A 14,027-nucleotide genomic window follows, 5' to 3' on the forward strand; every position below is an offset into this window, starting at 1 on the left:
CTGCTGCTCTGTTCTGATAAATAATATTTGAGCAGAGGCCAACTAAAAAAACATGAATAAAGGGAAGATGACAGGAAAGCTTCAAGGAAAGATAAGAATTATAGGCAACAGGGAATAGAGCTTAAAAGCAGTGGGAGAGGAGACTTCTCATAAACTAGGGAATATCAGCTCACTGACATTGCAGGGTATGTGGAAATCAGGAATGAATTGATTTCTGGGAAACTCCAAGAGACTCTGCCTGCTCTCAATGTGAGAAAATAAAATGGCAACAAATAACTGACACTAATACAGTGTCCTGGAGACTACAAAATGTTAAGCAACAGGGGAGTATCTTGGTTAGAAGCAGAGATGTTTAAATGCAGGGAAACTAAATGACATCATTCTTATGTCAAGCAAAACATGTGTTTAAGATCACCAGTCACACCTACAAAATGCTTCTTTACAAAGGTCACCTTATTTATCACCTCGAATTTAGAAGGACCCAAGAACCTGCTATGGTTGGGATCATCAGAGTTTCTAAACCCCTGAATCCATCTTCCTATTTTTCTTGCCTTTCTCACTATGAAGCTTCCCTGAGCCATAAGATAACCACTCAGAAGCGCCAAGAATGCTGGTGACTCATTCATTAATCAGGCCAATGAGTTAATATAATGATTTGGTCAGTTCTTGAACATAATGTCACCTCTGCCACATAGCACCTGTGAAAACTACCTTCTCCTTTCATGTAGTATTATAATGAGGAAAAAAAAACTCAAGGAGCCATGCAAGGAAACACAAGAAGAACAGAAGTAGGAAATACAGGAGGAAAAGAAAGGGGTATTATAAGTTACCCAATATTGCCAGAATTATGTATACACTACCTCCCCCCAAAAATAAAATAGGTACTGCTGTCCATCTCTTTACCTACATGAATACAGACATTAAAGAGGTCATGTGACTTGGCCACACAACTCAAATATGTTGGAACCTAAAAATAAACTAAAACCTTCTGACTCCAAAGGCTACACTTGTTCTACTATACAATGGTAACATAAGTGTATATGAAGAAGAAAAAAATAAAGAAAATAAAACATTAGATTTAAATATGTAATCTTTGTACGTAGTGGAGAGGAAGTTCCTTCATATCAGTAGAGTACTTAAGCATGCGAAAGTGAAACTGAAGACTGCCCTTGTTGAATGATTATGCTATTCCACTCACTCTACAGCACTTAATCTTTGTTTCTTCTGTATACATTTGAATGACCATGAAATCTCATAGTATGCCTTTATCTCTAGTAAAGGTTTTCAATGCCCACCAAATCACAGGACCTGATTCTTTTCCTGCCAATAGGCTCTGCCTCCCTTCTTTGGGAAACTGAATGAACAATGTTAACAGGAACTGGGTTTAGTTGACTGGTCCAGGGTAGCAGTCCATTCTCCATCTTTAGCCTGTAGGGCTCTAATAAAACAAATCACATCAGAGCTGCCATTGAAAATATGGGAGGAGATTTTTCTCCACACAAAAAGGACATCATAGGAAGAACCCACTACTCAGGGAGCTTATTGGATTCAATGTTGTGGCTAAAATTCAAGTGTGGCTGCATAATTTTGAAATGACTAGTATTATGATATTCCAGGACAGTAGTGAGCACCTTATACTGCTCTTATTTTATGCTATAGTAAAGAAGATATGCCTAGGGAAGTACAAAAAGGACTCTTAGCCCCTTCAAATAAGGTAAAAGAACAGTGAAATTTCCCACAGTCAACTGAACTGCAGGCCAAGGAAAATGGGAGGAAATAAAATGAGTTCAAGTATGAAACCACCAAGAAACAACAACAGGGCTGACCCTTAAGGAAAAAAGAGTTTCGTGATGCAAAATCTTCTTCCAACAACTTGAGAGAAAGGACAAGCATATGGAACACAAGTGTACCACCAAGGAGCAGCTTGGATTGTTTTGATAGTGGTGACCATGATTTCACCACTTCACAACTTCTGTCCATCACCTTCATCCTTCAGTTTTCCCTAATTTTCTCAACAACGATTTCCACATTTCCTTCTTTTCTCTTTCTTATGTGTCAGTTTTCACCAAATACTGAGTAACTTCTTCCCAGACCTAAGGAGGAACCCGAATAAAAGAATTATTTTGTTGTATACACAGCCCATGTCACAATGACCTACTACTACTGAGGCTGTGACACATATTCCTTGCTCATATTTCCTAAATTACATTTCCTACTTATCCCCCATTCTCTCCAGACTATAAACTGCACAAAAATGCTGAAAGTTAAGAGTTCTAATATCCTTGGGAATGGTTATATATTTCCATCTTGCAGTGATTTCATATCCATGTCTCATGTTTAATAACATTTAAGAGTTTTACATGGTCTCTGATTATTTCCTGATTAACAGATTTTCCTTGATACATTTGGGTTTAAAGCCTTATACGTAAAACAGAATAAATGATGGCTTCTAAATACATATACGAGAAAAGATTAAATAGATAAGTAGATTGATTGATCATAGATCAGTGTAACTGGAATTAATTGGATAATATTTCCCCCCCTAAAGGAACTGAAGAGGAAGATGAAGGAGATGACTGTCTGTTGGGGTCTGTGGATGAGTTCTGGTGGTTTCCTCACATGTGGAGCCATATGCAGCCCCACCTCTTCCACAATGAGTCATCTTTGGTGGAGCAGATGATTCTCAACAAAAAATTTGCCTTAGTAAGTAACTCACTTTGTTGCATTGAAGTAGTGTACACTGATTGGAGAAATGAAAAGATTCTTACATTGTGGCATAGTTGCGCTTTTCAGTGGCTTTTCCATATGATCATTTGGAATATTTTGGTATTGCCGCCTTTCAGTATGTGGCTCTTGAGTTTGTATTGAGTGCTCACCACTATGCTTAATGTTTTGAAGGATCTAATTTGAGAGGGACCTCACAAAATACAAGATTTATTATGACATTATGGTCAGAGCACCTAAGACATGGCTCCTGTCCAGAAGGAGTTTCCTGCTGCACTGAGAAGGCAGAAATATGCATGTTAAACAATTCCCCAACAAAATGAAATACTTTTTCAAGACCTAATGACAAACCTTACAGCCACAAAACCCACAGTTCAAAGAAATAAGTATCACTGGGAGTAGCCCAAGATGGATTCTTCTGGAAATAAGATTTTAGATACGTCCTGAAATAAGAATAAATCTTCGGGATCAGGATTAATTGAAATGAAATGAGGCTGAGGGAAAAGAGCAGGTAGGAGACCATAATGACTGTATGAGGTAATAAAGACTCAATCTAAACAGTTAAAAGCATTGCAAACATATATGCTGTATGGATGGAACATTTGTTTGGCTGAAGCAAGGTACACCATGTAATACTGAAGGGTTTATATTCAGGACAGGGAAATTTATAGTAAAAGTTTAAATAAGCACATTATGAAGAAAAATGTGCTTGTGATCAGAGAGAGTACCGAGGTACACTTACATGGAATGGTTTTCTACACCAACTGTTAGAACTAAGAAGTTTCAGTTGGTTCTCACAGTACCTTACTCAAATATATACAAGACAAGGTTAGAATGTATACACTATATTTTTTTTCTTGAGGATATACAAGACCAAATACTTTATGGTGGCATCAGGGGCCCATATTTGTCTTTTAGCTTCAATCTACTCCCCCAAATAAACAAACAGCTTCAGGTGCACCTTTGCCACATATTGATATTTTGTCAAGAAAGCAAGAATAGTGCTCCTCCATGCTGATACTGTGAAAATGTTTTGATGGTATATGCAAACTGCTGTGAGAAGGAGAGTCATCTTTTTTCCTAAAAAAATAAACAAATAATAAGCAGCATGTAAAATTGGTAAAACGGCCCCAGAATTTGTAATAGAAAGTGCTAAAACTCATATCTCAAAACAGCAGACATTAATTCTGTCATTTTCAGAAATCTAGACTGTTGATATTGACAATGTTAATCACTAATAAATTATGTGGGGAAAAAATTACTTTGTGGTTTACTTCTAAATCTGTTGAGAAAAAGAGAAAGGGATTTGTGAGAGACGAAAATACGTAAATACACTAAAGTAAAGCACCAGTAAAAGATAAGATACTGAGAAGTGAGGAGTGAAATTGTTGTTGTTGTTGTTGCTGTTTTGACAGCTTTCCAAAAATAATGTACCAAAGCAGCTTTGATAAAAGACATGTCATTCACTGTTACATCTGCTGAAAACTAGAATAGTATCTAGAAATTACTTGAACGAATCAATGAATGCCAATATTATGTTTATGTTTAAAACATTTGCAGATATTTGGAAGTACATATCCTAAGAATATACTTAGGCTGGGTGCAGTGGCTCATGCCTGTAATCCCAGCACTTTGGGAGGCCGAGGTGGGCGGATCACGAGGTCAGGAGATCGAGACCATCCTGGCTAACATGGTGAAACCCTGTCTCTACTAAAAAATACAAACAATTAGCCAGGTGTGGTGGCGGGCGCCTGTAGTCCCAGCTACTCAGGAAGCTGAGGCAGGAGAATGGTATGAACCCAGGAGGTGGAGCTTGCAGTGAGCTGAGATTGCACCACTGCACTCCAGCCTGGGCGACACAGCCAGACTCCCTCTCAAAAAAAGAAAAAAAAAAAAGAATATACTTAATACATATGCTAGAACAGGCATGCACAGGAGTTACATGCATTTTTTAGAATTCCCAACTAAAAAGTATCATGTGTAAAAGAATAATTCAAAAACAATATCTGGTCATTCTTAACCACCTAAGTGTTAAGCAAAGCAGATTTCTTAGAAGCGTCATTCCTAACTACATGTTGGCAATTCAAATTATTGTTTTTGAAGCAGAAGAGAGTAGTTGTAATAGATCTTCAGAAATAAGACCAAATATATTATTTAGTGTTTAATCAAATCCAGGACAAGTAGAATTTATTTTGTTGCAAGAGGATAGATATGAAAAAAGACTGAATCCAGAACCAGTCCCTCCCCAGCCATAACAATATGAAAGAGCACATATAAATAAGGCATTTGGGAACAGCAATTAGCATATAACACTCAATAGATGGCAGCTGCTGTTTTTATCATTATATCTAGTATCACAAAATTGCCATCTTTAATTTTTGCCCAGGCTCCTGAGGTGTTTGGACTGACAGGTAAGAGGGACAAAAATCCTTAAGTTTAAAAGTTTACTTTGTATTGGGATGGCATTTGTTTAATGTGAATTTTACCCAATTTCTAAATATGTGTTAACTCTTTTACTTTCCATTAAGCATTAGGGTTACAAAACTGCATTGTTGCTGACTTTAAAGATATAATAAGAAAAGATCAAGGGTTTCCAATTTTAACATATTTTTATTATTTCTTTTAATTCTCAAATTAACCCGGAATTGTAGGTCTATTTATTTTCCCATTATAGATGAAGCAACTGAGAATCAGAGAAATGCAGTGACTTATTCATGATTATAAAACTCACTAGCAGTATAATTAAGACCAGAAATCTTAATGCTGCATAAATTGCAGTGTTAGGTCTTCTAATGTGGCATAAAGTGTGCCCCCTGCCGAGGCTTCCTCCCTAGCCTCCCAACCCAATTCACAGGTGTGAATCAAGATTTCTTTTCTGCTGGTAATCCAAGGGAATATCTGGTTATGCTGGTAATATAAAGGAAATGGAGAACTTGAGGTGGAACTCACAGGGCAACTTTTCCCTCGGATTCCCTGAAGTTCCCTAATATAGGCAGAGTCTCTAAAATGTTGGAGGGGGTCGAAGGGGTAGGGGAGACAAAAAACTAAATCTGAGGAAATTTCCACTTGACCAAATATCACTTCTCATGTGTAGTTACAGAATCCACTTTAATTCAATGAAAAGTACTCTGGAGAAAATTCTACTTCAACTCACTAGATGGAACAAAGCAAATGTTTAACCTGTGCTAATATGGCATTTCTAAATTGGATTATATCCTGCTCTTCTCCACCAGCTTGGAGGCTCTTGATTTTAAAATGAGTGTTGGTATTTCCCAATGAAGAAAGTGAAAAAACATGCAAAGAAGCAGTGGGCTGTCTTGGGAGCAAATAGGTGTTCAAACAAGAATGGAGGTCATGGATGCAATATTCAAATGGGTAATTGTGTTAGAGGACATTTAAAGTACCCTTCCAGCTAAGAGAATTTCCGAGACTGTGATCTAAAACTTTTGGGTTTCGGCCTTTGCTATCATCATTTACAGCCACATACCTGCTATTTTCATTGAGTTTTAACAAATACATCTTATCTATTATCCTTTTGCACAATGTGGACACATCTGACTCACAAACAAATTTGATGTCTATTTTAATTTGTCTTTGAAAGCTCTAACAGTTTATTATGAAAGGTCAAGTAAATCCTTTAAGCAAACTTGCATTTGATGATTACACCCATCAGGAAATGCAGCTTTAGAGGTTGAATGGAAAAAATTTTTAGTTACCAAATATAGGATAATTCAGGGGTTAAACTGCAATTTCAACAGGGGATTTTTTTTTGGAAAGGTACAAATTCTGAGACAAAGATTAAATGTATCATTAATAATGACCTACCACAAAATTTAAAATATCAACTGTACAGTGTGTAAAATAGAATAACATATCATTAGAAAGGTAAAATAGTATTCTATTTAAACCTCAAAAAAGTCTTCAATAGTATATACTCTCAATTGAAGAACTGTATCTAAATTTTGGAAAATGGTGGTGGTTAAATTTTTAATGATAAAATAGTTAATAGATATTTCTATCATAGAACTCTGCCAATATCAGATGATACTTAATGCTTTTATAGACAATACTATTAAAAGTAGTAGTAGTAGAACAATGTTCCTGATAACATAAAATCTTACTGAAGATTGAACTTCTAATTGTATCATCATCATTCTTTTAAATGGTGTCCTTTTTGCCTCTCTTTTCCAAGTGCAGCAGAACCTGTTAATTTACATTAGCTGGAATGTCTATTGTCAATTATAAAACTTTTTAGATTAGTGAGCATGTTAACTTTTCCAATATGGAAATAAAGATTATAGTATCAAAATGTAATTTAAAATATATTGAAAGACTTGCTGGCTTAAGGAATATATGACAATCTTTTAATTAGTTTGCTTGCCAGCTAGAGAATGAATGAATACTACCACTTTTATTTCAGTGATGCACTTTATAAAAAGGCATATGAGATTTTCCTTTTATTGACATTGAACACAAAGTATAATTCTAGGTGTCCTAATAGAGAATTCCAGTCGGGTTGCAAAGAGTCCACTCAGCTGGTAGGCCACTTTAGAGTAATTCAAGCAGCACAGTTTAGAAAGACATTGGCCATTGTTCAGAGCAAAATGACCAATATGATGAAGTCTATAATTTACTTCATAAAATGAATAGCTGAAGGAAATTCAAGAAGGCAAGAGGTAAAAGAGAAGACTAAGGGATATATTATCAGGGCTACTATTCAACTAAGAGTACTGGTATGGCCATGCCAGTTATTACAATATTGAAATGTGACAATACTTTACCCCTATCCTGCTACCACATCAGATTCTTCCCCAAGGTGTCCCAAATCTCCCCCATTACTCAGGAACTAAAGGGGCCTGGCCCAGAAAGAGTCTCCAGCACCGATCTCCAGCTGTCCAGCTGGCAGCAGTTCTGATTGGTCAGTGGCATGGCATGCTGGTTGGTAGATATTTTTCGTTATCATTCCAGAAGATAATCAGTCAGTCTTAAGATTTAGAAGAGACTAGAATCAGTATATTTATAAGGAAAAGTATGGAAGTCATATAGATTTAAGAAGTAGAGTTCTTCCAATCTAGATAAGTTATGTATAGAGAATGGTGCTTGACATCTAGTAGGTAGTAAATGTTTGCTAAATAAAAATAAAAGTAAACGTTTCTTCTAGCTCTTAAGATTCTATCATTACTGTATTAAAATGTAGGTTTTATTATTATACAGGTATGATGAGTCCAGTAGATCAGGAGATGACTGCCATTGAAAAGATCAGTTTGTTATTCCCAGTTACCAAGAGAGGGAGTGTGCCACAAGGATGCAGGGCCACAGGGGAAGCACCAGGGTCGCTCAGGAGGCAGAGGGAGCAGGGGGGAAAGGTGGGCAAGAGCCTTTACTGTGGTTTCTGCGGGAAAGGTAAGGCAAGACAGGGTAAGCAGGCTCAGGATTGGCGACTTTGAATAATTTCAGTATGCTCTGAGGTGTAAGAGCTGTCTTTAGTCATCTAATACTTGGATCTGGGGTGATTAGATCAAAGAGATAGTTGCTCAACATATGAGAGTCTGATAAAGGAAGCAGAGGAGGGTAGGAGCTCTGAATTGCTTGATTTACATTTGAGAGTGCTCTCAGGGTGGTGTTTGCTATCTCTTGGAATTGACTAGCCTGAGAACAGCAATCTCTCCAGAGTCAGCAAGGCCCAGATATCAAAGCATCAGAAATACAGAAAATAAAGAGGCATGATGCTTTCTCCCGGTTATGTATCTTGAAGCAATTCCACAGGTTTTCAAAGCCCCTCACCATCCCAGCTGTCATATTCATATAATTTCTAATTTGTCGTTCTTATATCCCCCAATCTGAACATTATTGTCCACTGATGTGGTGTTATCAAAGCAGAAAATGGTAAAATATTTTTTCTTTCATGTGCACTTTACTTCTATTAATGTAGCCAAAGATCACATTACATTTTTACACCATCATATCACACCTGTGTCTGCCCGACCCTCTGTCCATGAGCCATTTATTAAACCTTCAAGTATTTATTTTTATCCAGTTGATTTTTCAAACTAAATGCTAGCCTTGGAATTACAATTGTCCCTTTAATATTCCATATTTGTTATATGTTCAGTGTTTTAGTATATCAACCTCCTGCTAAAGACTGACTCTGTTATTTAAAATGCTTTATATCTTTCCTAGCTTTGTGTAATCCCTATATTTTACAAGTATGACTTTTGCATCTTCAAGTTATTAGTATTGTTGAACATATTAATATGGTTAGAGATTTGTGGTAGAGCAATACATATCCTTTAGCTGTGTTCCCTTGGTATATTTCTAGCAATTGTTTCACATCTATTTTTTCACCAGAATAGTTTAAAATCTGTTTTTCTAAATTGAAACATCATATCTAATTATTTTTAGAATTATATATTTTAAGTATCTTGAACTCCAAGATAACACTGTCATCTACTCCTAAGTTCTAGCACCTCCACATAGGTGGCAGAATCACAGAACATTAGAGAAGGAGTGTTTAGGATGAAGACAAGCAGGGGAAAATTGGATGTAAGTAGACATACTGGATTACTAATAAATTAACCAAAGAATAGGAAATAAAACCCAGCTTTAACTAAACCAGTGGAAGCGGGATCATAAAGAAGTGAGATGTGAAAAGTATTTCTGACATAGATTCAATAAGTTTTTAATCAGATGGATGATGAGGAAGCATAAGAGAATAACAGGTCAAAAATAACATTAGGGTTTAAGCCTCCCACTTTTCTATCTGTGTGTATCTCTTTAAACTTTTTGCAAAGGTGAACTGCTGCTTTTTCTTTAGAAGTTCTGTATTTCACCTACATGAGGATACCCCCTCTTACCCATATCTACAGTACTGCAAAATGTATTCTCATTTGGATATATCATTTGAACTTTTGAAAGTGGTTTTGATTGGAATTCTTTTCTTTGTAAATTCCTGTCCAGATTACCTTCTTTTCCATCCTATGGGAAGACTCCATACTCTCTAACAAGATAGACATTGTAGAAAGAATTCCTCAATTCCTTTCCCTTTTTCCTCTAACAGAAATACTAGATTTCATCTTCAACACATTTATCTGGTAACTTAAACGATTTCATAAAAAGAAAGATAAATTTAGCACATGTACTGCATGAAAATAGTGCCTTACTGTCCAAATTTATGTGGACACAAAATGAACTAACAGCCTTTATGAATTCTCCTAGAAACTCATACTAGTGGGCTGGAGTCAGATGTGGGTATGAGGGTGGGGGAGGTCTATTTCCAGATCCATTCCTGCTGCTCCCGAATTTTCACTGCTCTTTCCTTTTACGCCTTTCATTTACTTAAGATGGAGGGGGCACTTGCATTCTGAGAGGTGGTTATAAACATGGCAGAGATGGAAGTGATGGCAGAAGAAGTAAGAGTCAATTTCACATGAGTGCTAACCTTGGCTCCGCTTTGGCATTTTTGTGTCTCCCACTCCATGTTCCCATGCATTTAACAATTTCTTTCAGTTTTTTCTTTCTTTTGTACCAGCTCCTGCTCCTTTTCAAAATTTTCCATCTCTACTTCACTTCCAAATTTTCAGCCCACACCTAGATTATTGCAGCAGCCTCCAAACCAGCCTCCAAACTAGTCTCCCCAATTTCCCGTTTTTTTCCTTTAATTTTTGCTCAGATCAGGAAACGTGAAACTTGAAATTCTGTGACTCTGTTTCCGCTGCATGAAACAGAACCTTACGGTTCAGTGAGAAAGATTCTTGACTCTCTTAAGGAAATGTAGGAAGATAAATTGTTGAGCTCCAAAATATTTACTAGACATTGCGCTTAGGGCTTTCCATACATCCTCGGTTAATTCTCCCAACCACCTGTGAGGTTGCTTATTCTCGTATTGAAAATGAAGAAAGCAAGGCTTAGAGAGCTTATATAAATTTTCCAGTGAAAGCTGGAGAAAGGGTTTTATCCCAGGTCTGTCTAATTCCAAAGCCCATGTAACAACCATGGTTTGTAAAATTAACAAGTAGCCATGCCATTGATACTGTTATTGCTGTTACACAGATCTCATAATCAAAATGTTATTACTTCTTTAAGGAATTATATTTTTACACAAATTCAGAATACAATCTGACTTTTTACAATGTTTTTCTCCTAAAGAGCTGTCTATAGGATTTATGTAGTTTCTTGTGTTTGCGATCTCAGTGCTGCAAGCATTACTGTCCTGGTGGCTTTTATAAATACCAGAGAGTATACGGTGGTTATAACAAAAATCAATATCAACTTTTTATGCTTTCAGAAATATTAAACTTCACTTAAAATTAGTACTATGTAGACTTCAAGATTCCTAATCAACCTTGCATATTTTCAGGGAGATTAAATGTGTGTGCAAGTACTCTGAGAATTTGAGGCTGTCCTGGATTATTTATAGCTTTCTTACCTCTCAAAGACCCCAAAGGTCCACATAAACTTCAAACTCTGAGAAAGCTGAATTAAACCAAACTTTCAATTCCTCCATTATGAATCCAGATAATTTTCTTTTCAGTTATTTTGCTACAGCATAAAAAGTAAGGCTTCATACATTCATTTTTTTTACATTTCTATAAACCTTTTCTTGTGTTTACTTGAATACACCCCAGCAATTCAAAAATACCAACCTGGGCTGTGCAAAGTACAAGTGTTTACATGATTCTTTTGAGTATTCTCACAAAAGCGCATCCTTTAGTGCTATGTTTACTTATGAGACACTCAACAAAGATATGACAACACTTCAAAAATTCTGGAGGGAACTCTAAGAGAGGAAAACAACATGCTCAGTTAAATGAAAATGTACTTGAAATAAATGTTATAATTGTTAGGGAAGACTGGGAGAAAATCACTCTCCCCCAAATATTTCTTTTCTTAAAGGTTACAAGTGAAAATGAAAATTAAAGCCAAGTATGCTACCTTTTATAGCCCTTTTTCAGTATTGGTACTACATTTTTAGCTTAACTTTTGTTACTGGAATTTCTTACTACGTTTGGCTTACAAAATGTCATTCCATTTCTTGAAATAATTTAGCTGCTAACTTGGGATAATACTTAAAGAGGAATATGTGGTGTTAAGAAGGGGTTTTTGCTTATGTTATTTCTACAGCTCTATCAAATTTATGGTACACCAGAGGTATTCCTTCCCTCCCACTTTATATGTAATATCTAATATGTATAATAGAAGAAATGTATATTGTTTAGTAAGACTTTGTTTTTAGACATGATTGATAATGACAATGTATCTTCTTTGAGGAATGTCTGCTCTGAAATAAGCACTCTGAATTGTTTGAGAATGGAAGTAATGGTGAGAGGAGTCTTAGTTTACCTTGGTTTTTTTGTTTTGCTTGTTTTTGTTTCCCCCAAATAAAGAATACTGTTAACTAAATAAAAGAAAATGAAATGGCATTTGACCAATAACTTTGTTTATATCCTTCATGCTGGACAACTCTGTGAGATCATTAGTTTTATTACCCTTACTTGGCAAATGAGGGAATTGAGGCACGGTGAATTTGCATAACCTGCTAGGGTCCTGGGACCAATGAAGAGAAGCACTGAGATTGAGCCGGGGACTCAAATCTGTGTTCTCCTAAATCTGTATTCTCTTCATGATAGTATCCTACTCTCTATCCCTAGGATTCCTGGTACAAGGAAAATTTCATTGTCATGGGTTTGGCTATTTTGAGATATTGAAAGAATAAGACTCTTTTCTTACTGTATACTAAATTAAACACCATACACTCATCTCTTTTCCGGAGATGAGTAACTCCAGAGTGATAAGGTGACACTTCTGTTTTATAAGTTGCTATAATGCCATTCAGTTTTACAAGATCTCATTATTAACACCTTTAACACTTTTATCCAAAGACTTTTGTTACTTTTATTTTATAGCCATATTTTTTGCTATCTTGTGAGACAAAGAATATCTCCTTCCTCAGGTTTCTGGATCCATAGGAATATCACTACCCAGAGAGACTCACCTAAACCTCAAGTTCCAGATTTTTTTATGAGGGTTTCATTATATAGGCATGTTTGATTGTATTATTGGCCACATGATTGAACTCAATTTCCAACTCCTCTCGCCTACCCTAAGATCAGGCTGATATCACCTTGCTCAAAGCTCTCATTCTCTAATTACATGGTGGGACTTCCTGGCATGACTAACCTTCATCCTGAGTCATCTTGTTAGCATAAACTCAAATATAATTTCAGGGTATCACCATAAATAACAAAGACATTTCTATCACTCAGGAAATTCCACAGAGTTAGGAGTTATCTCCCAGGAATCAGGGATAAGGAAGACCAGACAAATTCTTTATTAATACAACAGCTGCCAACAGGGGATGATTCTTGAACCCTTAAAACAAATCTACTAAAAACAACATTGTCATCACAGAAATTTTTTTCACATACCACCCAGCAAACCAAAATTTATATTATAAATCAAGGAGCACCATGTAAGAAAACTAGAGAAATAGTTAGTGGTCAAATCTATAAATATTAACCAAATTTATGTAACTGTGTCTATCATATTTTAGGAGATTATTCCATCCTTAAGTATGTAGAAAGAAAATTGTATATGGGAGTTTAAGTTTGTTCATGGATTAAAAATAGTACATTCGTATTTAGCATCTGAATATAAAATCATTTCTAAAACCACAAAGATTATGTCAAAGAAACACAGAATTATAAACCTGGACTTTAGTGACTACTTGTACAACCCCTTTATTTTACAATTTTTTAGAAAATGAAAAATCAGATTCCTGTGCTTAAGGTAATTAATTCTTTCAAGATTTTTCATTTCAAACCATACCAGAAATATTATCATTTATCACAGGAACATAGTCTAACATTTAATAATCTTTGCATGTAGTACCAAATCTAAATTCCCTAATCTAATGATCCTGACTTGCCTTATTTTGTTGTAGGCTAAGAAGACAGTCAGCTTCCTTTGAATAGCAACTTTACATATATTGGGCCACTCTGCCAACATCCATACCATTTCTTACTTTCTTCCAGTGATTGCGGCTACTACAGGACTCCTTCCACAGGTGCCAGAGGTTCCACAGGTTCTTATAAGCTGAATTGTGGTGTAGCCCATCAGTGTCACCTTAGGAAAACAAATCATCATTAGAAGCTTGAAAATGCTTCACAAATTCAAATAATTATATAATTTTGACTATAATCATCCTGTTGTGCTATCAAATAGTACATATTATTCATGCTTTCTAATTATATTTTGTGCTCATTAATCATGCCCACCTCCCCTGCAACATCTACTATCCTACCCAG

The 14,027-nt window shown here is 35.9% G+C and overlaps 1 protein-coding gene and 1 long non-coding RNA gene across 16 annotated transcripts in view; one reads left to right on the forward strand and one right to left on the reverse strand.

Moving 5' to 3' along the window:
• Window positions 1-14,027, forward strand: part of NDST3 (N-deacetylase and N-sulfotransferase 3) — a 225,313-nt gene that overhangs the window by 78,936 nt on the left and 132,350 nt on the right. For all 12 annotated transcript variants that reach the window (NR_146513.2, NR_146514.2, XM_006714416.4 and 9 more), the window contains one exon: window positions 2,549-2,703. Coding sequence is in view for 10 of the 12 variants with exons in the window: in XM_006714416.4 (XP_006714479.1) it covers window positions 2,549-2,703 (155 nt within the window). In the remaining 2 variants the exon portion in view is untranslated. The remainder of the gene's footprint in view (window positions 1-2,548; window positions 2,704-14,027) is intronic.
• Window positions 1-14,027, reverse strand: part of LOC107986307 (uncharacterized) — a 149,690-nt gene that overhangs the window by 57,521 nt on the left and 78,142 nt on the right. For 2 of the 4 annotated variants that reach the window (XR_007058241.1, XR_007058240.1), the window contains exon 3: window positions 13,029-13,845. This is a non-coding gene — a long non-coding RNA (uncharacterized LOC107986307). Of the gene's footprint in view, window positions 1-13,028; window positions 13,846-14,027 lie in introns of those variants that run through there. The other 2 variants (XR_007058243.1, XR_007058242.1) reach the window with 2 other exon arrangements.

This window comes from Homo sapiens, chromosome 4 (assembly GCF_000001405.40).
Source record: "Homo sapiens chromosome 4, GRCh38.p14 Primary Assembly".
NCBI lineage: Eukaryota > Metazoa > Chordata > Mammalia > Primates > Hominidae > Homo > Homo sapiens.